Source organism: Homo sapiens, chromosome 5 (genome assembly GCF_000001405.40).
Source record: "Homo sapiens chromosome 5, GRCh38.p14 Primary Assembly".
NCBI lineage: Eukaryota > Metazoa > Chordata > Mammalia > Primates > Hominidae > Homo > Homo sapiens.
Genome location: NC_000005.10, coordinates 145,994,243 through 146,018,355, shown reverse-complemented (window position 1 = coordinate 146,018,355; position 24,113 = coordinate 145,994,243). Strand labels below are relative to the sequence as shown.

At 39.9% G+C, this 24,113-nt stretch overlaps 1 protein-coding gene, 1 long non-coding RNA gene and 1 pseudogene across 6 annotated transcripts in view, besides 1 other annotated feature; 1 reads left to right on the top strand and 2 right to left on the bottom strand.

Annotated features, from left to right (window-relative positions):
- Positions 1-24,113, top strand: part of LOC107986458 (uncharacterized) — a 131,758-nt gene that overhangs the window by 49,103 nt on the left and 58,542 nt on the right. The window contains exon 3 of the long non-coding RNA XR_001742913.2: positions 21,932-22,018. This is a non-coding gene — a long non-coding RNA (uncharacterized LOC107986458). The remainder of the gene's footprint in view (positions 1-21,931; positions 22,019-24,113) is intronic.
- Positions 1-24,113, bottom strand: part of SH3RF2 (SH3 domain containing ring finger 2) — a 145,196-nt gene that overhangs the window by 63,418 nt on the left and 57,665 nt on the right. For all 5 annotated transcript variants that reach the window (XM_006714757.2, XM_011537568.3, XM_017009136.2 and 2 more), the window contains exons 3-5: positions 18,029-18,298; positions 14,203-14,298; positions 4,295-4,609 (exon numbers count right to left, since the gene is read on the bottom strand). In XM_006714757.2, coding sequence (XP_006714820.1) covers positions 4,295-4,609; positions 14,203-14,298; positions 18,029-18,298 — 681 coding nt within the window. The remainder of the gene's footprint in view (positions 1-4,294; positions 4,610-14,202; positions 14,299-18,028; positions 18,299-24,113) is intronic.
- Positions 10,581-10,750: an enhancer, noted in NCBI's record as "experimental_80983 CRE fragment used in MPRA reporter constructs". NCBI's record gives its function as "activates a minimal promoter by MPRAs in K562 erythroleukemia cells, with activity observed for the non-introgressed 5:145387254 variant allele {active_cell/tissue: K562}" and the evidence as "EXISTENCE:reporter gene assay evidence [ECO:0000049][PMID:34662402]".
- LOC100431175 (apolipoprotein O like pseudogene) lies at positions 19,856-21,139 on the bottom strand (annotated as a pseudogene).

Genomic DNA, 24,113 nt, shown 5'->3' with positions numbered 1-24,113 from the left:
AAACCAATATTGCATGTTCTCACTAAGTGGGAGATAAACTATGGGTATGAAAAGGCATACAGAGTGGTATAATGGAAATGGGAGACTCAAAGGAGAGAGGGAGGGTGAGGGTGGTTAAGGGAAGAAAAATTATCTATTGGATACAATGGAGGCTACTCCGGTGATGGGTACATTAAAATCTCAGACTTCACCACTATACAATTCATCCATGTAACCAAAAACCACTTGTACCCCTAAAGCTACTGAAATGAAAAAATTAAAATTAAAAAAAGACTAAGAAAAATACCTAATCTTTCACTCCCAGAGTTTTCCCGTTTGGTAAAATGAGCATACCAATACCTACTCTGAACAGTTTTGAGGACAGTCATATGTTTGTAAATCACTTATTATAGTTTCTGGCTTTTTGTGATCACTCAATAATGGGATCCATTAATGGTTTGGGGAAGAGAAGTGGCTGAAAGGATTTGGGTTTGCAAGAGGTCATTATGAAGCCAAGACTGGAAGTATGGATGGGGTTGGGAGGGATTGGGCGGGGTGAGGCGAAGTGATTGAGTGTGGGCTCTAGGAGGCCAGTGAGGAGGCTGGAGCAATAGTCTAGGCAAGAGATGAGGACCCAAACTAAGGCAGTGAAATGGAATGGGCAATAGCAATAACTATTTAGGTGGCACAATGAGCTTACTGATTAGCTGAATGTAGGAGGTGAGGGAAAAAGAGCTTTCTAGTTGCATAGCAGTTCTGCTACCCTGGATCTGTGATACAGAAGGAGGGAGGCTTAAGGAGTAGGGATGAAGGATTGGCAGTGGGACAGGGATGGGGAGGAGGAGGGGAAGGGGAGAAAGAAGGCATATTGAGGAGCAGAAACTCTTAGGAAAACAAGAATGCTTCACTGCTCTGTGAGTGTGGGAGGCAGAGGGCGAGCAGGATCCACATCCTGAACCAAGTCAATTTTAGAATCTCCAGGGAGGGCCCTGCACATGTGACTCCCCAAAGAGGCATTTCTGAAGGACTTCTTTCTAACTTGTGTCATGTGCAGTTGATTTTCTTTGTCTCCAGGACTCTCCCAGAGGCCAGCTGCATTGGTTTCAATCCACCCACTTAACTTCCTCCACTGCAGTTTTCCACCGAACTTACTCAGTATCTTCAGGTCTAATCCTGAATTGTTTTCGAGTGCCATTGTTTTTAGTCCGTAGTTGCAGTTCATCTGTGAGGTCATTTCCTGATGCTCTACCCAGAAGTTTCAAGTGGTTTCCCACAGGTAGAAAGACACAATGACAAAGGGGAAAAAATATTCCTGGCTCTGGCTTCTCATTATGAAAAGGAAGAAAATGCTACCCCTTGGGGTTTGAGACTTGAGGGACAATCCAAGACTTGTCTCTACCACAGGAGGAGAATGAGGCAGCAGCTTATTCTTGGTGCCATCAGCACCATACACAATGTTTGGACACAACTGGTAGTTCATAAAGAAACAAAGTGATAGTAAATGGAAGCCTTTTTCAGGTGCAAAAGACTTAGGACAAATTCTTTACTGAGGGGGTGGGTGGAGAAGAAAATGCTGGAAGGCCTTAGCATTCAAAAGGAGCCAAGTGAAGACAACCAAGAAAAGGGAGGCTGCAGACATCCAGGATAAACTACATTGGCAGAATGTTGCCTAGTGTGGTCTTGGTTGACAGCATAGTGTAGTGACAAGAGCTTATGTTCTAGAATTAGACAATTCTAAATTCAATCCAGACTCTTTACTAAATTACACGAACTTGGCTTAATCATTTTTCTTTTGGGGCCTTAATTACCTTGCTATAAAGTGTTGATAATACCTCCCCTACAAAGGTTCTTATTACAGTTTTAGAATGGAGGGGAGGCTTAGGAGACTGAGAGTAAAAGGAGACTTTTCTATCAGAGGATATCACTGTATCTATTTATCTATCTATCTATTTATCTATGTATCAATCATCTATCCATCCATCCATCCATCCATCCATCCATCCATCCATCCATCCATCCATCTACTTACCTACCTACCTATAGATCCATCCGTCTCATATTAGTTTCAGTAAAGTTTGAGGTTATATTACTCTTCTTGTTTTGGTAGTAGAATCTCCAGTACTCACTATGGTTACTAGCACATTGCAAGCATTCAACAGATGTTTATTGGCTGGAAGATTTACACTAATCTGTAATCTTTCTTTAGGAAATTAATTCTTTCTCAAGTCTTCCCTAAGTATATGTCACCACCACCTGCCCAGATATTTACGTTAAAAGTCTTGATTCCTTGATTTATTGAGCACCTGCTAGGGTCTAGGCACCATGTGGGTTGCTGGAGTGGGGAAGGTAGGGGGAGTGTGATGAGCCAGACCCAACCACAGCTCTCAAGAATGTTAGAGAAAAGGGAAGAACTTGCCATTTGTTCAACTTTCTGCTCATCATTAGATATGTCATAAGTGGGCCATTTCGAGTGTGTTTTTACAACCTTTGGACAAACATGTAGAAATACTTATAATCCACAGCCATCTGAATGGAGAAAAGGCTGCTGTGAAGTAGTTCCCTGGTCATCGGATGTGTGAATGCAGTGCCATACTGTGGAATTCTCACTATTTGTGAAAACTACGAAGTAATAATACTTGTTTTGAATCCTACTAAGCTTCTCCCACTCTAGTCCAGCCTCCGTAGATGACATAAATGCCCAGAATAAGAATTTTAAAAGCACACAGAAAATGACTCTTGGTTAAATCTTTTGCGAAGCCAACTTAGAGCTGAGTGAGCTAGCTTATTTCCACTGAGTGTGGGCTGCACTTTATATATCTATGACTATATATAAAGAATCGTTTCAAAAAATTCTGTGACTCTTTGGCTTAATTGTGAGTCACAAGGCTCCCATTTTAGAGTGTGTGTGTTTGTGTGTGTGTGTGTGAAGGAGAACTTTGGGCATAAAGCATCTATTAATATGTACTTGTAAAGAAGTGCAGTGTGTATGTAGAAAGTTTTATAGTTTCTGTTAAAGCAAGGGGAGTGAAATGGAGGAGAAAGAGAAAGTGTGTATGTGTGTGCGTGTGCATGTGGTGCAGTTGGTGGGCAGAATTACATGAGCAGCCAACTTCTTAGCAACCCAGACAGTGGTATAAGATATGAAGTGTTGTAGGAGGTGATTGTTTTCCTTTCAGAATAGCACACAGGTCTTTGAGGAGCCCTTGACTTTCTCTTTCCTCCTTGTCTTGTTAAAAAGGGATTAGAGTCCAATTAAGCCTTTTAATCCCAAGGTAGAAATTCATGTTTAAAAACAAAATTTACAGCTCCTTAAAAAAAAGAAAAAACACATCAGCACAAGTTGAGTTTTGTCCTTTCAAGTTGCCACCTGCATGGTCCCAAAGAGTGTTTTCAGCTGAATACCCAACATGCAGCTCTTCTTAATTACTTTGCCTCATACCTCCACTCCTTCATCTTTTAAAGTACCCTTCAACCTAAATAGCCACATGCTGCTAGAAATACTTCAGCTTCTGGATTGCCACGACCACCCCTACGCGTCTTCAGTTGGCAACACAGTGACCAGGGTTAACAATAGTATTAAGAGGCAACACTTATTGGATGCTTAGTATATGGTGGGCATCATGGTGCTAGTCACTTTACATGCATTATCTTATTAGGTACTCCATCTGGAAACACCCAGGGCTGGCTTCACCGGTTTGTGCCTTGCATAGCCACACAGGGCTCTTTGCTTGGTTTAATGCTCTGCTGTTCCCATCTTCAAATTCTTGATCATTTTTGAGCATAGGACTTGTATTTTCATTTTGGACTGGGTCCTATAAATGTAGGTAACCAGTCCTGAGAACATTCAATAACCCATAGTTTCTTTTTGTTTCTTTTGCTTTCTTTCCATCTGATGTCTAATACATTGCCAGAGGATGGGATATTGAATCTCAGATTGTGATGCCAAAACACTCTCGAGAAAATAGGTGCCATCATCTCCTTAGAGGGAAGTTCTCTAAGGGACAGGAACGATATCATGGCACTCAGCAAGGGAAAGAAAAGTATCTGTGAGAATTTGGATAAGTTGTTTAACCCCTCTAAACCTAAGTTCGCTCAACTGTAAAATGGGGATAATAGTAATAACACCTAACTCACAGGCTGTTCAAGGATGAAATAAAAGGTTTATACAATTCTAACATGGAATACATATGGCATTAGTTACTAGTAGGGCATTCTGGGTGCTTAGCAAGTACTAAACATCAAATATTGGTTGTGACATGGTATGAATCACTTGCCCAACTCCAAAGTGCCCTCATCCCAGGCGTTTCTTCCCTACCTGTCCCACACAGCTGGAAGGAACGTCTGCTTTCTCCATGGGCTGGGTGATCACAGAGGGGTTGCTGGAGCTGATGAGCACTGGGGTGCTGATCTCTACCATATGGCGCCCTGAAGGAGAATGGACCATCCGGTTGAGAGTGTTCAAGGCTGTTGTGATGGAAAACTGCCCAGGCACCTTCCTCCTGGACCCTGGGCCCCTACGGAGGGTAGACGTGTTGCCTCTGGAGGACGAGGACACCAGGGACAGGTTTTTTGTGCGGGATGACTGGCGACCTTTGTTCTTCTCTAAAAGGTGTCTTGCGGTGAGGTTTGGCTGAAAAGACAAAAGGTCCAATGAGAAGTTTGTCTTCCTGATCTAATGTGAGTAGCCAGTTCCTACCCATGTACATCTGAAGCCAGGTCAGGTGCCACCTCCTCAGTCACTGGCTCAGATGCTCATTCCTTGGTGAGCACAGTAACAGCTTCCATCTTTTATCGATGCATCCTCATGACTTTGCTCTATTAATGCATTCTCATAACTTTCCTGCAAAGTAAGTATTACTCTTTTACTGAGGTCCAAAGGGGATAAAAATAAGCCATGATGCTCTTCCCTGGCTGAGAGTATTCTTCCTTTACCCATTTTCCCCAGTCATTTCTGGCTGTTTTCACCTAGTGGACTTCTCCCCTCTTCCTTTAGCCATCCTGGAATCCCCTGCTGGGTTGGCCACTTGTCCTTCCTGGTGCTCCCAGCAGCCCCTGTGCTTCCCAATCATTGTATTTTTCCACTCCAAACTGCAATCCTTTACTTGCCTTTCCCCCACTAGTCCGTTAGCTATCTGGGTTGCAGGGACCTTCTACACATGATTCTCTCCTGTACCCCAGAGTAGATGCTTAGTGTTTGTGGAATAGTGAGTGAATGAAGTTGCTCAAGTTTATACATTTCATAAGTGTTTGAGCCAGAATGTAGTGCATTCAGGACCCTGAATCCTTATGCTAAGACTGACTTTTACTACTTCCTTTAAATATGTTCATGTAATCACCATTCTTCCTTGTTCTATATCTCTTAGTCAGTGATGTATTGGTAAATCAGCTGTCAAAAAAAAAAGTAACAAGAAAGAAAGAAAACAGATCCCTGATTTGTGGAGTTTTTCAAGCCACCAATGGTTAAACAACTGGCTGGGAAAATTTCTGAAAATATAACAACCAGCTCTTGTGATCTAGTTCCAGCCAACTCCAGTACACCACTGTGTTATGTCTGTCTTCCCCACCGTATAGGTCCATTCTCACAAGCAATATGTCATAATATTTTGAGTACCCTACTCACTGACAGCCCCTGTGGGTTCATTTCCTTTGGAAATCTGAAACATGTTGACAAACAAGAGTTAGTGCAATAACTCTTAAATTTTAGGATGATTACCTAAATTTTCATTTTTATAATTGTTACCAGTTGCCCTCTAAAACCGTATCTCATTCTAATTTAGAAATCCAACCAAGACTAAACCAGGAAGAAGTTGAATCCCTGAATAGACCAATAACAGGCTCTGAAATTGAGGCAATAATTAATAGCCTACCAACCAAGAAAAGTCCAGGACCAGACAGATTCACAGCCGAATTCTACCAGAGGTACAAGGAGGAGCTGGTACCATTCCTTGTGAAACTATTCCAATCAATAGAATAAGAGGGAATCCTCCCTAACTCATTTTATGAGGCCAGCATCATCCTGATACCAAAGCCTGGCAGAGACACAACAAACAAAGAGAATTATAGACCAATATCCCTGATGAACATCGATGCAAAAATCCTCAATAAAATACTGGCAAACCAAATCCAGCAGCACACCAAAAAGCTTATCCACCATCATCAAGTGCAAGGCTGGTTCAACATACGCAAATCAATAAATGTAATCCAGCATATAAACAGAACCAGCGACAAAAACCATATGATTATCTCAATAGATGCAGAAAAGGCCTTTGATAAAATTCAACAGCCCTTCATGCTAAAAACTCTCAATAAATTAGGTATTGATGGGACGTATCTCAAAATAATAAGAGCTATTTATGACAAACCCACAGCCAATATCATACTGAATGGGCAAAAACTGGAAGCATTGCCTTTAAAAACTAGCACAAGACAGGGATGCCCTCTGTCACCACTCCTATTTAACATAGTGTTGGAAGTTCTGGCCAGGGCAATCAGGCAGGAGAAAGAAATAAAGGGTATTCAATTAGGAAAAGAGGAAGTCAAATTGTCCCTCTTTGCAGATGACATGATTGTATATTTAGAAAACCCCATCGTCTTAGCCCAAAATCTCCTTAAGCTGATAAGCAACTTCAGCAAAGTCTCAGGATACAAAATCAATGTGCAAAAATCACAAGCATTCTTAAACACCAATAACAGACAAACAGAGAGCCAAATCATGAGCGAACTCCCATTCACAATTGCTTCAAAGAGAATAAAATACCTAGGAATCCAACTTACAAGGGATGTGAGGGACTTCTTCAAGGAGAACTACAAACCGCTGCTCAACAAAATAAAAGAGGACACAAATAAATGGAAGAACATTCCATGCTCATGGATAGGAAGAATCAATATTGTGAAAACGGCCATACTGCCCAAGGTAATTTATAGATTCATTGCTATCCCCATCAAGCTACCAATGACTTTCTTCACAGAATTTTTAAAAACTACTGTAAAGTTCATATGGAACCAAAAAAGAGCCCACACTGCCGAGTCAATCCTAAGCCAAAAGAACAAAGCTGGAGGCATCACGCTACCTGACTTCAAACTATACTACCAGGCTACAGTAACCAAAACAGCATGGTACTGGTACCTAAACAGAGATATAGACCAATGGAACAGAACAGAGGCCTCAGAAGTAACACCACACATCTACAACCATCTGATCTTTGACAAACGCGACAAAAATAAGAAATGGGGAAACGATTCCCTATTTAATAAATGGTGCTGGGAAAACTGGCTAGCCATATGTAGAAAGCTGAAACTGGATCCCTTCCTTACACCTTATACAAAAATCAATTCAAGATGGATTAGAGACTTAAATGTTAGACCTAAAACCATAAAAACCCTAGAAGAAAACCTAGGCAATACCATTCAGGACATCGGCATGGGCAAGGACTTCATGTCTATAACACCAAAAGCAATGGCAACAAAAGCCAAAATTGACAAATGGGATCTAATTAAATGAAAGAGCTTCTGCACAGCAAAAGAAACTGCCATCGGAGTGAACAGGCAACCTACAGAATGGGAGAAAATTTTTGCAATCTACTCATCTGACAAAGGGCTAATATCCAGAATCTACAATGAACTCAAACAAATTTACAAGAAAAAAACAAACAACCCCATCAACAAGTGGGCAAAAGATATGAACGTACACTTCTCAAAAGAAGACATTTATGCAGCAAAAAGACACATGAAAAAATGCTCATCATCACTGGCCATCAGAGAAATGCAAATCAAAACCACAATGAGATACCATCTCACACCGGTTAGAATGGCAAACATTAAAAAGTCAGGAAACAACAGGTGCTGGAGAGGATGTGGAGAAATAGGAACACTTTTACACTGTTGTTGGGACTGTAAACTAGTTCAATCATTGTGGAAGACGGTGTGGCGATTCCTCAAGGATCTAGAACTAGAAATACCATTTGACCCAGCCATCCCATTACTGGGTATATAACCAAAGGATTATAAATCATGCTGCTATGAAGACACATGCACACGTATGTTTATTGTGGCACTATTCACAATAGCAAAGACTTGGAACCAATCCAAATGTCCATCACTGATAGACTGGATTCAGAAAATGTGGCACATATACACCATGGAATACTACGCAGCCATAAAAAAGGATGAGTTCATGCCCTTTGTAGGGACATGGATGAAGCTGGAAACCATCATTCTCAGCAAACTATCGCAAGGACCAAAAACCAAACACCGCATGTTCTCACTCATAGGTGGGAATTGAACAATGAGAACACTTGGACACAGGAAGGGGAACATCACACACTGGGGCCTGTCGTGGGGTGGGGGGAGTGGGGAGGGATAGCATTAGGAGATATACCTAATGTAAATGACGAGTTAATGGGTGCAGCACACCAACATGCCACTTGTATACATGTGTAACAAACCTGCACGTTGTGCACATATACCCTAGAACTTAAAGTATAATAAAAACAAAAAAATAGCTGAGATAGAAAATTTTATTGAATGTCGCTTTTGTTGAGGAATAAATAAAGTTCTTAAAAAGAAAATTTTAAAGAAGATATGGTTCTTGCTTCAAGAAGCTTATAGTATTGTGAAAAACTCATTAAGTAGGGGAATGAGCATTATTATGTCCATTTTAAAAATCAGGAGGCCAAGGCCTGGAAGGGGTGACTTATAAATTACAGAGCCAGCATGTAAACAACTAGACAAGAAAACATCATATAGTTATAAGTGCTCTGACATGATAGAGAGTGACTGGGGGAGGCAGCCACTTTAAATTAGGGGGTCGAGGAAGATCTGCCGAGAAGGTGGCATTTAAGCTGAAACAACAAATGTCAAGAAGGAGCTAGCTATGTGAAAATGGAGGTAAGAATATGCCCAGAAGAGGCACCATAAGCTACTCTGAAAGTCCTAAAGAGGGAAAGAGCTCAGCTTGCTTGAGAAAAAGACAGAAGAAAGAAACAGAGAGAAGGCTGGAACAGAGCATGTAAGGAGAAGGTGATAAAAGAGGCCACAGAGACAGGCAGGGGCCAGATCACAAGAGCCTGGGAAGCTTCCATTTTATTCTACATATAATAGGAAGTCTTTGGCAGGACTTAGGTAGAGGAGTGATAAGATCTGATTTATGCTTTTAAAAGCTCATGCTACTGTTTGGCAGTGTCTTAGAAAGTTAAACACATACTTAGCATCTGACCCATCAATTCCACTCCTAAGTAATCACCTAAGAGAAATGAAAACTTGTGCCCACTCAAAAACCAGTATGCAAATGTTTATAACAGTTTTATGCATAGTTGCCAACAACTGGAAAACAACTCCAGTGTCTTTCACGAGGTGAATGAACAAGCTCTGGCACATCTATACAATGGAATACTACTCTGCATCAAAAAGGAATGAACTACTGATACATGAAACAGCATGGGTAATCCCAAATGCTTTATGCAAAATGAAAGAAGCCCGACTCAAAAAGCTACATTCTGTATGATTCCATTTATATGACATTCTGGAAAAAGAAAACTACAGGAACAGAAAACAGATTGGTGGTTGCCAGCACTTATGAGTTGGGGAAGAAATTGACTATAAAGGGGAAGCATGAGAAATTTCAGGGCAGACTATTGGAACTCTCCTATGTCTTGATTGTGGTGTGGTTAAACAATTTTACATACTTATTAAAATTTATAGAACTGGATGTTAAAAAGAGTAAATTTTACTGTATGTAAATAAAAAAGAAATAAAAAGCTCGTTTCAGCTGCTATTTCGAAGTGCCAGAACAGAAATAGGGGGACCAATTAGGAAGTTATTGAAATTGTTTAGGCAAGCTCTGATGGCAGCTTGAACTAGGAACAATGACTTAGAGGCCCCAGGACACCTGCCCCTCCATTGTTCACCCAGTAAAAGGGCAATATACACTCTGAATTGAATGAGTAAAGTTCTTTATATAGCCATTCTTGGCTATAATGAAATAAGTTAATTTTTTCTGCTTCCACCTAATTGTTCTGTCCCCAGGTGAGTACCACCGTCAGCTTTTCTAACATTAACACTGACACAGGGCTCCGGGAGACTCTGCGTCTGCCCTGTCCTCTGCCAACATGATTAATAGCTCTGCTGGGGAAGAATTGCAGGTCTCTTAGATTTGCACCCACTCATTTGAAACAATATTGTTGAGGCTCACTGGGCTGAGCAAAGTTCATATAACCCAGGCAGGCTCCATTGGAGGAGTCCTGATAAGAATGAGCATAGGCTCAGCCTTTGTTTTATCACCTTTTAATGCGGGTGCAATTCAATAAGTGAAATGATACATTAACAAGAAAAATCCTGTTTATGCCAAACACACACAAACATGCACACATACACACATCATGCTCATAAGAAAGCCTCCCTTCCTTCCAATTGCTTTCCATGGCACTGGTAATTCAAAGTTTATTTAAAGAGTTCTCAGCAAGTGCTAGTCTTAATGAAATGACTGGAGTCAAAATTTAAGTGCTGCTTTAAAAAGCACAATTTAGATTTCAGGTAATTTTTGAAAATCAGGTTTCCAGATTAGAGCAACCACTTAATTATCTTTTTCCCCTCTGAGCAATTAGGAGAACAAATGAAGCACTGGCTAGTTTAATGATAATCTTGATGGTTCTTGTACTCGCTAATTTTAGAGGTGAAGTGTCAGGAAACTGTATCCAAATGAATAATCATTAAATGGAGAAGTTTTGGGAAATGGGTTTCAGAAATGGGTAATAAGATGACTGGTGCCTTCCCCCCCAGCCCAGACTTATGAAGAAGAATCTCAAGATAATGCAGGAGACCAGGCAACCATTTCCATAAATACTTAAGCACCTCATATGGGTCCAATGAGGTACTAATTGCAGCTGACGTCTGTCCTTGGAGAGTCAACCACTGACTGAATCATCCTAACTTCCACTCCTACCCAGCAGATGGCTCTGCCACTGACCTATGTCTATAAATCAAGAAGTGGGGCTGTCCTTGAACACTTCTCTCCTCTACGCCTGCCTCTGTCAATCCCAAAGTCCTGTGGATTCTACCTCCTGAAAGGTCCATGAACCTATGGGTCGAATCCACAGTCATCTAACTGGGCAATGCAGAGGCCTCCTAACTCTACTTTCTGCTTTTTTCTCCCTCCTCTTCAAATCGTTCCTCCCACTGCAGCCAGGGCAGTCTTTAAGAAATCCAAACCTGGTCACTTAAAAACCTTTCAATGGCTTCTGTTGGCTTTTGGGTCGAATCCACACTTCTTATGATATGGCAGAGGCAATGATACCCAGTGTTTCACGTGTTCCCTTATACTTCTCAGCTGACTTGACATCACATCAGGCTATGTGACTGGTTCAGGCTAATGGGCTGTGAGTGGGAGTGACAAGTGTCACTTCTGAAACGAGGCATTTAGTTGGTGATACAACTCACTCTTTTTCATGCGTCCCTACTGTGGAAACTAGGAAGCCCACATGTTCCAGATGATGCAGCTACCAGATGGCCCAGCCCTATTAGTTTGGGTTCCTGAGTGACTATGTGAGCAGAGCCCCTCATCACTCTGCACTGAACATGGAATTTAGGTGAGGAATAACATTTTCTTTGTTAAGCCACTGAGACTTTGGTGCCGTTTATTGCCACGGCATAACCTAGCCTATCCTGACTATACAGGATGGTTTATGAAGTCCTCTGTGATCTGTCTTCCATTTACTTCCCTGGCTTCATTTTTTGTTCCTCTTTCACTCTCTAAGCTCCAGCTCTGGTACTTCCTTTTTCCCCTGGCTACACCACATTTCCTCATCATGCAGGACTTTTGCACATTCTACCTCCATTATCTAAAATGCTGTCTATCTGTCAGATCTTGGCATAAGTGGCATTTGTTGACCTTCTGCCCTGGTAAGTTGCATATCATAACTCCCTAATAGTTTCCACTACTTCAGTCTTTTTTTTCTTTTTTGAGATAGGGTCTTGCTCTGTTGTCTAGTCTAGAGTATAGTGGCACAATCACGGCTCACTGTAGCCACGACCTCCTAGGCTCAAATCATTCTCCTGCCTCAGCCTCCGGAGTAGCTGGGAACATTGTGGGCCACCATGCCTGGCTAGTTTTTAAATTTTCTGTAGAGATGGGAGTCTCACTATGTTGCCCAAGCTGGTCTCAATCTCTCGGGCTCAAGTAATCCTTCTGCCTTGGCCCCCAATGTGTTGGGATTACAGCCATGAGCCACTACACTTGGCTACTTCAGTCTTTACATGATTCAACACACTTGCAATTACTGGAATACTTTCTGAATTTATAGTCTCTGAGAGTAGGGACCCATGTTTGTCTTGTGTCTTTAGAACTAGGCACAGGTCCTGGCATAGCAGGCACTCAATGAAAAATTAGTGAATAATTAAACATATGTTTAGGACAGGGTCACAGTGAATGGTTTGCTCTTTAAAAATTTTTTTTTCCCCTGGGAGCTCTGACTACCTTCTCAATTATTTTCCATTCATTCACTTGCTAAGCTTTTTTTTTTTTTTTTTAAACAGAGTGCTTGTTCTGTGTTAGGCTAGCCTGTGAAGTACAACTAACACACTCATCAGATATTCAGAGGAAAGAGGCCATTGAGGGTTTAACTACTTGCTGAAATTTTATGGACAAAGTAGGTTTCTATCTGAGCCTTATAAAATAAGTGAAATTTGAACAGGTAAAGAGAATTGGGTGGTGTATCTGAAAGGGGTCCCAGCAAGAGAAAAGGCATTAGGAATGAGAATTAGGAATGAGTTTAGTAGAGACAATAAGAAGATCAGCCTCTCTGGACCCTTCCTCCATCCCTTCCTTCAACACTGATGGAGTAGAGGAGGTACAGAGAACCCTGAAAGCTGTGCAATGCTCTGGGTACACCATTCATTTCAGAACCTGCTTTAGCTCTTATGACTAGAAGAATTGGTTGCTTCTCCTCAACTGTGGTCTGTTCTGTTTCAAACCCTCCAATCCCCAGGGTGGACAGCACGCCTTTTACTTCTTTCATAGCTTTCTACTACTCATTTTTAATGCTTTATGCATGTTAAGCACCCAGTAAATGCAGCTAAACAATGAAACCTCTCTTTTAAATATGTAATGACTTGCTTCAAGCTAAAGTGAGGCTCATGGCTAATGAGGTTAGGCACTGACAGGTTATATTATACTGGAGCTATACATAGCCTAGCATGTTTTCTTTCTTTTTTTTTTAAAGAAGATTTTTCTTTAAAAAACAGAAGTAATAAATATATGCTAATTTCAGAAGATTTAGGAAATACAAGTTGGCAGAAGAAAATGAAAAGCATCTAGAATCTCATCATCTAGTTATCACAAAATGTTAACATTTTGGTACATATCCTTCTCTAGTCCTTTATCCATTTATATAAACACATATATATTTATAAAGCTAGTTCCACATGGTCCAACTTATTTTTTATTGTGATAAAAGACATGTAACATGAAATTTACCTTCTGAACCACTTTTAAGTGTACAGTTCAGTAGTGTTAAGTATATTCACACTGTTATGAAACAGATCTTTAGAACTCTTTTATCCAGCAAATCTGGAACTCTATACCTATTAAACTTTTAAAAAACTTAACAATGAATCATAAATCTTTCCATAATATTGAACATTTTATGATATTAAATATTATTCTCCATTTATTTATTCTCCATAAATATTATTCTCCATATTATTCTCCATAAATATTATTCTCCATATATGGATAATATAGTATTATCCATAGAGAGACACTTTTTTCATCACCACAATTTAAAAAAAATGAACTCCTTATTGTTGAATATTTAGAGTATTTCTGTTTTTTCATAATTATATACCATCGCCTAACATTATGGTGAACATTTTTGAATATTTTGTACATCTATCTTTGCATACTTATTTAAATATTTTCTTACAATAAACTCCCAGATGGACTTATTGACTCAAAGGAGGCATACATTTTTAATATTTTTGGTATAAGTTTATTTGAGTTTGCATATGAGAGATTTCACTAATTTACATTCCCATCAGGAGAATAGAAAAGGCTCATTTCCCCAGACTCTTGCCAGAATTGGGTATTATTGTCTGGCATCTTTTCTTTAGAGATTTTAGTTAGTTCTGAAATAAGCCTCATAGCAAATAGGAATTGCTCTCAGGCATCACTGTAGCACATGAATATTTCTGTGTATGCGTAAATCAGATGTAGACTTGATACTCACGTACCTCTACAAACAAGATAGGGAAGATGCCTACTTTATCTCCTAACTTGCCTTCTGCCCAGTTCTCATCCACTCGGCTGATCACAGTGATGATATCGTCCTGAAAGAGAAAGTCTCATGGTCAGCATTTACTCTCATTTTCAGGCAGTAAAAGCTCTCAGCAGAGATCAGTTTGGAGTCTCAGATGGTGTAAAGTGTTAGGAATGTAGCTTGTGCTTGATTTATTTGGGAAGTCTTTTTGCTAAAATGAACTTTCTCCATAAAGGGCAGTGTTTGTGTCACTGAGACCATAGAGGGGTAGACATAATTTGGAGAATCAATGGAATCCAATAGGAAAACTTTGAAATGTTTCTAATTTTTAATCACCAGCAGGGTCCAAGCTTTTCATTTAAATTTATCTGATGGAGAAATCAAGATGGAAGCCATAGGGAGAAGCACTTTTAGCTTTGCAAAAAGAAAAATGAATTTTATGCTCATTTTGAAGACTTTCAGAACCTATTCAATTTTTAATGCATCAAACATAAAGCAACTTTTTGTTCAGATTTTTCTTACTATAAAAGGTTATATGTAAATTTGTAGAAACATTTGAAAATACAGATAAGCAAAACAAGGAAAATATTTTACCACAATAAAGATACAATCACTGTCAACAGCTTGAATAACACATTTTTTCCAGATTCTTTTCTATCAAGACAAAACATACATACATATAAACATACATATTTTTAAAAAACTTTTCCAAAAACATACACACATGCATAGAATAAAGTGCACAAATCTTGAGAAATTTTACATTTGAATATATCCATGAAATCCCTGTTCAGATGAAGGTATAGAATCCTCCCAGCACCCAGAAGGTTCCTTTGTGCCCTTTCCCACCACCTGTTAAGAGGCAACCACTACTCTGACTTCTACTACTATACATTTATTTTGTCATTATTTTGTTCCTGTACCTCACACAGATGAAGCCATATGGGACACAGTGATTTTTTTAATTTAATGCCATTTTAGAAACACCTTTCCTTGTCCATAAACCATTCATCAAGTTCAACCTGTATATTCATCCACTAAAGACCTTCTGATCTCTCTGACATTCTGTTCCATGCTCCTCAGGAATTAGGATTGATTTAAATTTAAATCTGTTACTGCATTATACCCTTTCTTAGCTTCCTCTTACACAGCGGTACCCAACCTTTTTGGCACCAGGGACTGGTTTTGTGGAAGACAATTTTTCCTCAGATGCAGGGGGTAGGAGGTGGGGATAGAGGGTAGAGGATAGGGAATGGTTTCAAGATAAAACTGCTCCACCTCACATTATCAGGCATTAGATTCTCATAAGGAGCACCTAATTTAGATCCCTTGCATGCGCAGTTCACAATAGGTTTCACGCTCCTATGAGAATCTAATGCTGCCACTAATCTGACAGAAGGTGGAGCTCAGGCAGTAATGCGACCCATGGGGAGCAGCTATAAATACAGATGAAGGTTTGCTCACTTGCCCACCTCTCACCTCCTGCTGTGCGGCCCGTTTCCTCACAGGCCACGGACTGGTACTGGTCGGTGGTCCTGGGGTTGGGGGCCCCTGCTCTTACACATGTGCAATTATGCATTTATAGGTTATCCTTCCTTCCTTCCTTCCTTCCTTCCTTCCTTCCTTCCTTCCTTCCTTCCTTCCTTCCTTCCTTCCTTTTCTTTCTTTTTTAATTTTTAGATGGAGTCTCGCTCTGTTGCCCAGGCTGGAGTGCAATGGCGCGAACTTGGCTCACTGCAACCTCCGCCTCCTGGGTTCAAGCGATTCTCCTGCCTCAGTCTCCTGAGTAGCTGGGATTACAGGCACGCGCAACCACGCCTGACTAATTTTTGTATTTTTAGTAGAGTCGGGGTTTCGCTATGTTGGCCAGGCTGGTCTCAAACTCCTGACCTCAAGTGATCCGCCTGCCGCGGTCTCCCAAAGTGCTGGGATTGCAGGCGTGAGCCACCGTGCCAGGAGGTTATTATTTCTTTAATGTCGGTCTACCCTATCTGACTATAAACTTCATGTGTGCAGGGCCTATGTCTGTTTTGTTAATCTTTGTTTTCCCTAGCACCTAACACAGTGGCTCCCTTTTAGTAGTCAGCCAATAAGTTTATTGAATGCATGCATGCATGAATAAATACATGACGTTGAATAAATTACACAATTTACTGAGCTAGAAAGCACTAGGAAAAGAACAGCTTTGGGAAGGAAGATCTTGAGTTTAATTTGGATATGCTGAGTTTAGACCATGAGATTTCCTAGAAGTCTGTGTATTTCACAGCCTTCCAGAATGGGTCAAATCCTCTCTTTTGGTTTCTTTGTCATAATTTCCCATTTATATGTCTGTTTCTTCCACTAGATTGCCAGCTCAGTGTAGGTAAGAACAATGACTCATCACTTTATCTCCAATGGCCAGCTTGGCACATGGATGGGCTCAAGAAATGAATGAGTGTGTGAAGTAAGTGCCCCAGTTTACAAATTCCCAGAAAGGGTGAGAGAGGCAGACGATGATACTTCCTTATGTCTTCCTCCAGCTGTGTGTCTAATGCCTGGCACAAAGTAAATAATAAATATTTGTGGAATTGAACTGACTTTCCTCTAGCTGTAGTCTAGGTCTACACTTTGCTGTTTGGGCTGTAGAATGACCTTCCTTAGGAGTCTCGCTCTGAGGTTCCACGGCAATAATAAAGATCATTATCTCAAAATATGGAGGGCAGAGAGGTTGTCTAGTTTGAGAAAACCTGAAGTAAATCTCCTTTCTGGTAGTGGTGGAATAAAAACATTTTGTAAAACGAAACACCTTGCCTAAGCTATTGTAGCAGTGCCACTTTTTATACTTACATTTGATCTACTTATCACGAGTAGTCAAGAATGAAAATAACTCCAACTGTGGTTTCTATGAGAGATGTGAATGTTTATGGAATAACAAATACTGAATACAGATAGTTAAAGTAGTGTAGACTTTAGTACAACTGTCATTAATTGCAAATGGTGGGGAATCATCTAATGAAAAAGAGAGGCACAAGAAATCTTAGGGTAATTAATGTTTGAAAAATATATCTTGTAAGAGGTTATTTATGTAGAAAGGCACGATTATGTTATTGTGTGTGTCTGGAGTGTTTTGAATGAGATGTTTACAACAAGATAGAATGTAAATGAGTAGAATTAGGTAACCATAACTTGGTTGCAAGAATACCCTGCCACATACATGATAAAGAGGTAGAGGCTGTAGTTTTACATAGCATGTTATCAAATTGTTTCTAATTTTCTGTCCATGTATCGGTGCTTCCCATTACTCTGCCAGGAGAGCAGAGACTGTGACTTATTCACGTCCTATTCCCAGGGCCTTCAAGGAGTAAATGCTCAAAAGTGATAGAATGAATAAATCAAATGTGTTATTCAAGCTGTTGACAGTGATTGTATCTATATTGTGGTGTAATATTTTCCTTGTTTTGCTTATCTGTATTTTCAAATGTTTCTACAATGGTTTCAGGATAAATGAATGAATGAATGAGTGAATACTTTTGTAATTACAATAAAAAAGGCTTACAGACTTCTATCACTTATTCGTAGATTTCTCTAGAGATTTCACGTGCATGTAGTTTGAATTGTACACACATATTACATATATATGCACTACATATATACATACGTAATTTATGCACAAAATATATTTTTATGAATAAAATATTAACAATAATATAATATATTTAAAATACAATTTTTTAAAATCAGCAAATATTAAACAAGGAACTCTGTTCTGCTATGGTCTCTACGTGGTCCCAGGTGACTCTGGTGGCCACCCAGAATCCTACCTTGAGGAAGGTCAGGCAATCCTGGTTCTCACTCTTGTCCTTGCCTCGTAGGTCGAAGTTGTAGAGGGCCCTGCAGAGCGGGGGCGGCTGGGGCAGCTGCTTGATGACTTCCACGGAGCTGGCTGGGAAGTTCCCGCTGATGCCATTGATTTCCCCCTGGTACCAATTCTCATCAAGCTGTCTCCGGAGAAGGATGATATCTCCCTTATTAAACCTTAGGTCACCGGGATTCTGCCCTCTGTAGTTGCATAAGGCCTTTGCTCGAGGCACCTGCAATGGCACAGACCAATAAGATATGTACTTAGCTTAGAGTCTAGAGGAACAGAAGATACAAGCATTCCCCCTTTTATTGTACTTTGCTTTAACATGCTTTGCAAATACTGAGTTTTTTACAAATCAAAGGTTTATGGCAACCTGTGTTAAATAGGTCTATCAGCGCCATTCTTCCAACACCATGTGCTCACTTTGTGTCTCTGTGTCACATTCTGGTAACTGTTATTAACTTTAAATATTTTAAACTTTCATTATTATTATATCTGCTATGGTGATCTGTAATCAGTGATCTTTGAGGTTACTATTGTAATGTCTCGGGGGGCGCCACAAACTTTGCCCATACAAGACAGCAAACTTCGTCGATAAATGTTTGTGTTCTGACTGCTCCACAAACTGGTCATTTTCCCATCTCTCTCCCTCTCCTTGGGCCTCCCTATTCTCTGAGACACAAAAATATTAAAATGAGGCCAATTAATGACCCTACAATTGCCTACAAATTTTCAAGTGAAAGGAAGAGTTTCACATCTCTCACTTTAAATCAAAAGCTAGAAATGATTAATCTTAATGAGGAAGGCATGACTAAAGCTGAGATAGGCCAAAAGCTAGGCCTCTTGTGACAAACAGTCAAGCTGTGAATGCAAAAGAAAAGTTCATGAAGGAAATCAGAAGTGCTACTGCAGTGAATACATAAATGATAAGTAAGTGAATCAGCCTTATTGCCGATATGGAGAAAGTTTGACTGGTTTGTGTAGAAGATCAAACCAGACACAACAGACCCTCAAGCCAAAGCCTAATCAAGATCAAGATCCTAACTTTCTTTAATTCTATGAAGGCTGAGAGAGATGAGGAAGCTGCAGAAAAAAAGTTTGAAGCTGGCAGAGATAGTCTGAGGTTTAAGAAGAGAAGCTGTCTCTATAACATAAAAATGCAAGGTGAAGCAACAAGCCATCAATATTGAGGCAAGACCCACCACCAGCAAGAAGATTACAACTTGCTGAAGGCTCAGATCATCATTAAGGTTTTTTTTTTAGTAATAAAGTATTTTAAATTAAGTTAGATATATTGTTTTTTAGGCATAATGCTATTGCACACTTAATAGACTACAGCATAGTGTAAACACAACTTTTTTGTTTTCTTTTCTTTCTGAGATGGAGTCTTGCTCTGTTGCCAGGCTGGAGTCCAGTGGTGTGATCTCAGCTCACTGCAACCTCCACCTCCCGGGTTCAAGTGATTCTCCTGCCTCAGCCTCCCGACTAGCTGGGATTACAGGCGCACACCACCACACCTGGCTAATTTTTGTATTTTTGGTGGAGACGGGGTTTCACTATGTTGGCCAGGATGGTCTCGATCTCCTGACCTCATGATCCACCCACCTTGGCCTCCCAAAGGGCATTACAGGCGTGAGCCACCATGCCCAGCCAAATACAACTTTTATATGCACTGGGAAATGAAAAAAAAGTGTTTGACTTGCTTTATTATGGTATTAGCTTTATTGTGGTGGTCCAAAACTGAACCTACACTATCTCTGGGGCATACCTGCATAATACTTTTTTTTCCCATAAAACATGGATATTTTATTCCAGCTCTAGGAAATGGAAAAAAAGAGGGAAACACATCTTTCTACACACCATTCTAATTTAACTGACATTAATTAGGGAAAGCTAGAGCAGAAATATATGATTATACATATAAATATGTATGTCTTTATACATACATATATGCATTTTCAGATTTTAGTCTCACTGGAGTTCATGTCTTTTTTTTTTTTTTTTTAACTATGGGCCCCTAAAGCTCATTAAATTCAAGCTAATACTTCTACCTAAGTCTCCTCATCAATCATTTAATATTGTTTGCATTGCATTCACAGTTTGTGTGTTAACCACTTATGCAATTTATCAAATTGCACATTTGGAGAGGTAAGGGAAAAACTTGGTTTAAATAATACTCTATGTATCAGTTACCCATTACATGATTTTTTTCATCATTATTTGCAACTTCATACATCTTGTAGTTTTCTATGTAGTCTCTCTATGCAGTCTGCTTCAGGTTCCAGTGCTATACTTGTCTATATGTTCTGGGTGGGACCACCTGTGATCCATGAACTTGGGGTCAGGCATAAACTGTGTAGCACCTGAGGTGGATTCTGATTTGGTGTTTGCTTCAGAGCTGAGTTCTGTTGGCAAGGGCACTGAGCATTTCAAGATGTGAGTTGTTTTTGCAGGTACTTCTATTTCGGCGGGGGATCCTAGCTTAATTTTTTTTCTTTAGGTTTAGGGAGTGACTCTTTTTTTGCTGCTTTTTGTCCACAATGATTTAACTGCTTCAAAAATTTGCTGGCTTGTAGCATATACCTTTTTCCCTGTTACCTTAGCAATTATTACTGACTGAACTGGGTAGCAAACAGTTGCTCATAAAGTGGCCAGTCCCAGAGGATAAGTAATTTTCTTAAACTTAAAACCTTTTCTCGCTGAAACCAAGCCCACCAATCCTGAAACCGTAATAACTCCCATTTTCGGAAGAAAATCTCGAGGAGGATTCTTCAGATAGACATAAGCATCTTTCCCAAATTGTACTGTATCCATTATCCCATTTTTCACAAAGACATAAACATCCTTGCACCAGCCAGTATAATGACCAGTTGCAGTGTAGATGGAAGCAAAGCCCATTTATAAATGACCAGGCTGCTCTTCAACATATTTAGACTGGAGCGGTGGTGCAGTATATACGGGGAGCTGCTCTGGTTTCACTAGCTGCTTTTTGGATTCCTCTTCTTTGGTTCCATGTACATTTACAGATGCATGTATCAGACTTGCAGGCATGGTTGTCAGTTTTCCCATCTACTAGCAGGGTGAAAATCTGAGACATTGACAATGGTAAATGCTGGGGAGAATGAGGAGCAACAGGAAGTCTCATTCATTGCTGGGTGATGAAATAACCTGCACAACAAATGCCCGTGATACGAGTTTACCTGTGTAACAAACCTTCACATGTACACCTGAACCCTGATGACCGCCATGTCTATGACCCTTTTGGCCAAGGTTTTCAGACGACACCTACATAACATTAATAACTAATTACCGAGCACTTCCTATGTGCTAAGTGTGTATGTGGATCATCTCATTTAATCTAGGCAGCCCTTGGAGATAGACACGCATCATCCCCATTTATAAGATAGGGTGACAGAGACACAGAGTGGTTTATTAACTTGCATAAGATGACACAACTGGGAAATGGCAGATATGGGACATGAACTCAGATTACCTGATGCTGGAACCCCTTTTCTTAATCACTACCCAAGGAACAGGGCTGTGAACTTGACTCTACGTCTATGAGATGGGAGTCAGTGACTCTTTCTGGGTCTGAATACTGATTTTGAATTCTGGCTCTACTTCTTTCCTTTTGTGTAATCATGGCTAAGTTACTTAATCTTTCTTAAACTGTATTCATTTATAAAATGAGCATTTGGATCATTAGGAAGCTCAGCTGAGACAAAGAAACAATTAGTCAGAGATCAATCGTCAGTTTTTTAAAAAAAATCAGCTCAAGCATAATCGTTTGTCAAATCAGTTGTCTAAATAATTATTTCAGTCAAATGCATTTTTACTAATTGAAATTGTTTTTTTCACATAGAAATGGCCTCACTCCAGTCTTGCTCGAAGTCTGCTGGGTAAACTGCAAGTTCTAACAGACTAAGAGGAAGTGCTTCAGTCACCTAAGGTCGTATTTTATTTTGTGCTTTTCCAAGCAGTGGGATTATGTAATCACCTCGCATTGTAGCAGTCTTGCTGTTCATAATCTTGCTATTCATGCAGTGGGGTATAGAGAGGCATTAATTTAGGTCTTCATGGATCTCCTGAATCCGCAATGATCATTTGAAAGAAGAATTCCGAGCAGCTTAGTGGTAGAGATAAGACCCAACATTACTTTGCTGATGGAATGGTGGAGGTGTCCTTTTCTGCTGGTCCCCAGATAAGTAAGGAGACCCCAGGGGTGAAAAAACCACAGGAACACAGCTCATCCCCAGGAAACTGGTGGACAAATGAGCAAAGATATATGTGCTAGGGGGTTTAACATAATGCTGTGGAATAAACAGGGAATTGGTTGAATAAATTATTATACACCCATACCCATACAATGAAAAACTTTGCAGTCATTAAAATTGATGTTTTTCTATAATTAATAATATTGAGCGTTACTGATAATATACCATTAAGTGTAACAGAAGAGGTTAAGAATAATTATGTAGACTAGATTTTCATTATAAATACATATGTATGTTTTTTATCTAGGGAAAATGTTAGATGACTATATGCCAATATTTTAGAAGTGGTTATCTCTAAGTGGTGAGATTTTTGAATATTGAAAAAACGCTTTTTTTCTAAGTGCTTAGCTGTGTTCTCTAACTTTTCTATAATAAAATAATTGTATTGCTTATTAAAATTGGACAGTTAGAAAATGAATGAAGTTGGTGGATGAGAGGTAAAAGGTATGAGAGGAATTTAGAAAGTAAGCCAAGCTGAGTAGGATAAGCAAACTATGCAACTAACTTTTTTGGGGAAGGTGTTCCCTACCTGAGAAATAAGCACGTAAAAGCTGGATGAGAATGGGTTTCTGGGGAATGACCCAAATCTGTTAGACCCCCGGGGTTGGGTACATCAGGGAACAATAATTGTTCCTCCATACTTCTTCCTCTCAATTTTCCATTGTAATATCACATTTTTCTGGGTACATGACTACCTGGAATATTGGTCACATTTTTAGCCTTTCTGGTGATTAAGTCCAGGCCAGTGTGGGAGTAAGCAACCTTTAGGAAGCATCCGTCCGGAGTTTTCTTTTCCTCTCCTCCATCTTGCTATGTGGAATGCAGACATGATCCCTAGAGCTCTAGCTGCCATCTTGAATACTGAGGACGAGGGCCACACCTAATAGGGAAGGGGCCTGGGTTTCAGAGCTTCCACACCCATCCTGGATTACTTCACATCCAGACTTTTGGTGGAGAGCTAAATAAACTTCCACCTTGCTGAATGAACTGTGAGGCTTTTTTTTTATTATTTATGAAAAACAGAAAAGAGAAAAGGAAAGAAAGGGAGAATGAGAAGATAAAGAAGAAAAGATCTAAGCCCCTTTAGATTTGCATAATGATAATATCAATAGCTAACCTTTACTGAGTGCTTCTTTCTTGTGCCAGATTCTTTGCTAAGTGCTCTAATTCTCTTTGCTAAGCACTCTCTAATTCTCACAACAATCTTTGAGGTGTGTATTATTTCAAATGTCAATTTTTAGATTAAAAAACTGGGGATCAGAAAATGATATGGTTTGGCTGTGTCCCCACCCAAATCTCAACTTGAATTCCCACGTGTTTGGGAAGGGCCTGGTGGGAGGTAATTGAATCATGGGGGCAAATCTTTCCTGTGCTGTTCTCATGATTGTGAATAAAAGTCTCATGAGATCTGATGGGTGTATCAAGGGTTTCCGCTTTTGTTTCTTCCTCATTTTCTCTGGCTGCTGCCATGTAAGAATTGCCTTTCACCTCCTGCCATGATTCTGAGGCCTCCCCATCCATGTGGAACTGTAAGTCCAATTAAACCTCCTTTTCTTCCCAGGCTCAGGCATGTCTTTATCAGTAACATGAAAATGGACTAATACAATAAATTGGTACAAGTAGAGTGGGGTGTTGCTGAAAAGATACCTGAAAATATGGAAGCAGCTTTGGAACTGGGTAACAGGCAGAGGTTGGAAAAATTTGGAGGGCTCAGAAGAAGACAGCAAAATGTGGGAAAGTTTGGAACTTCCTAGAGACTTGTTGAATGAC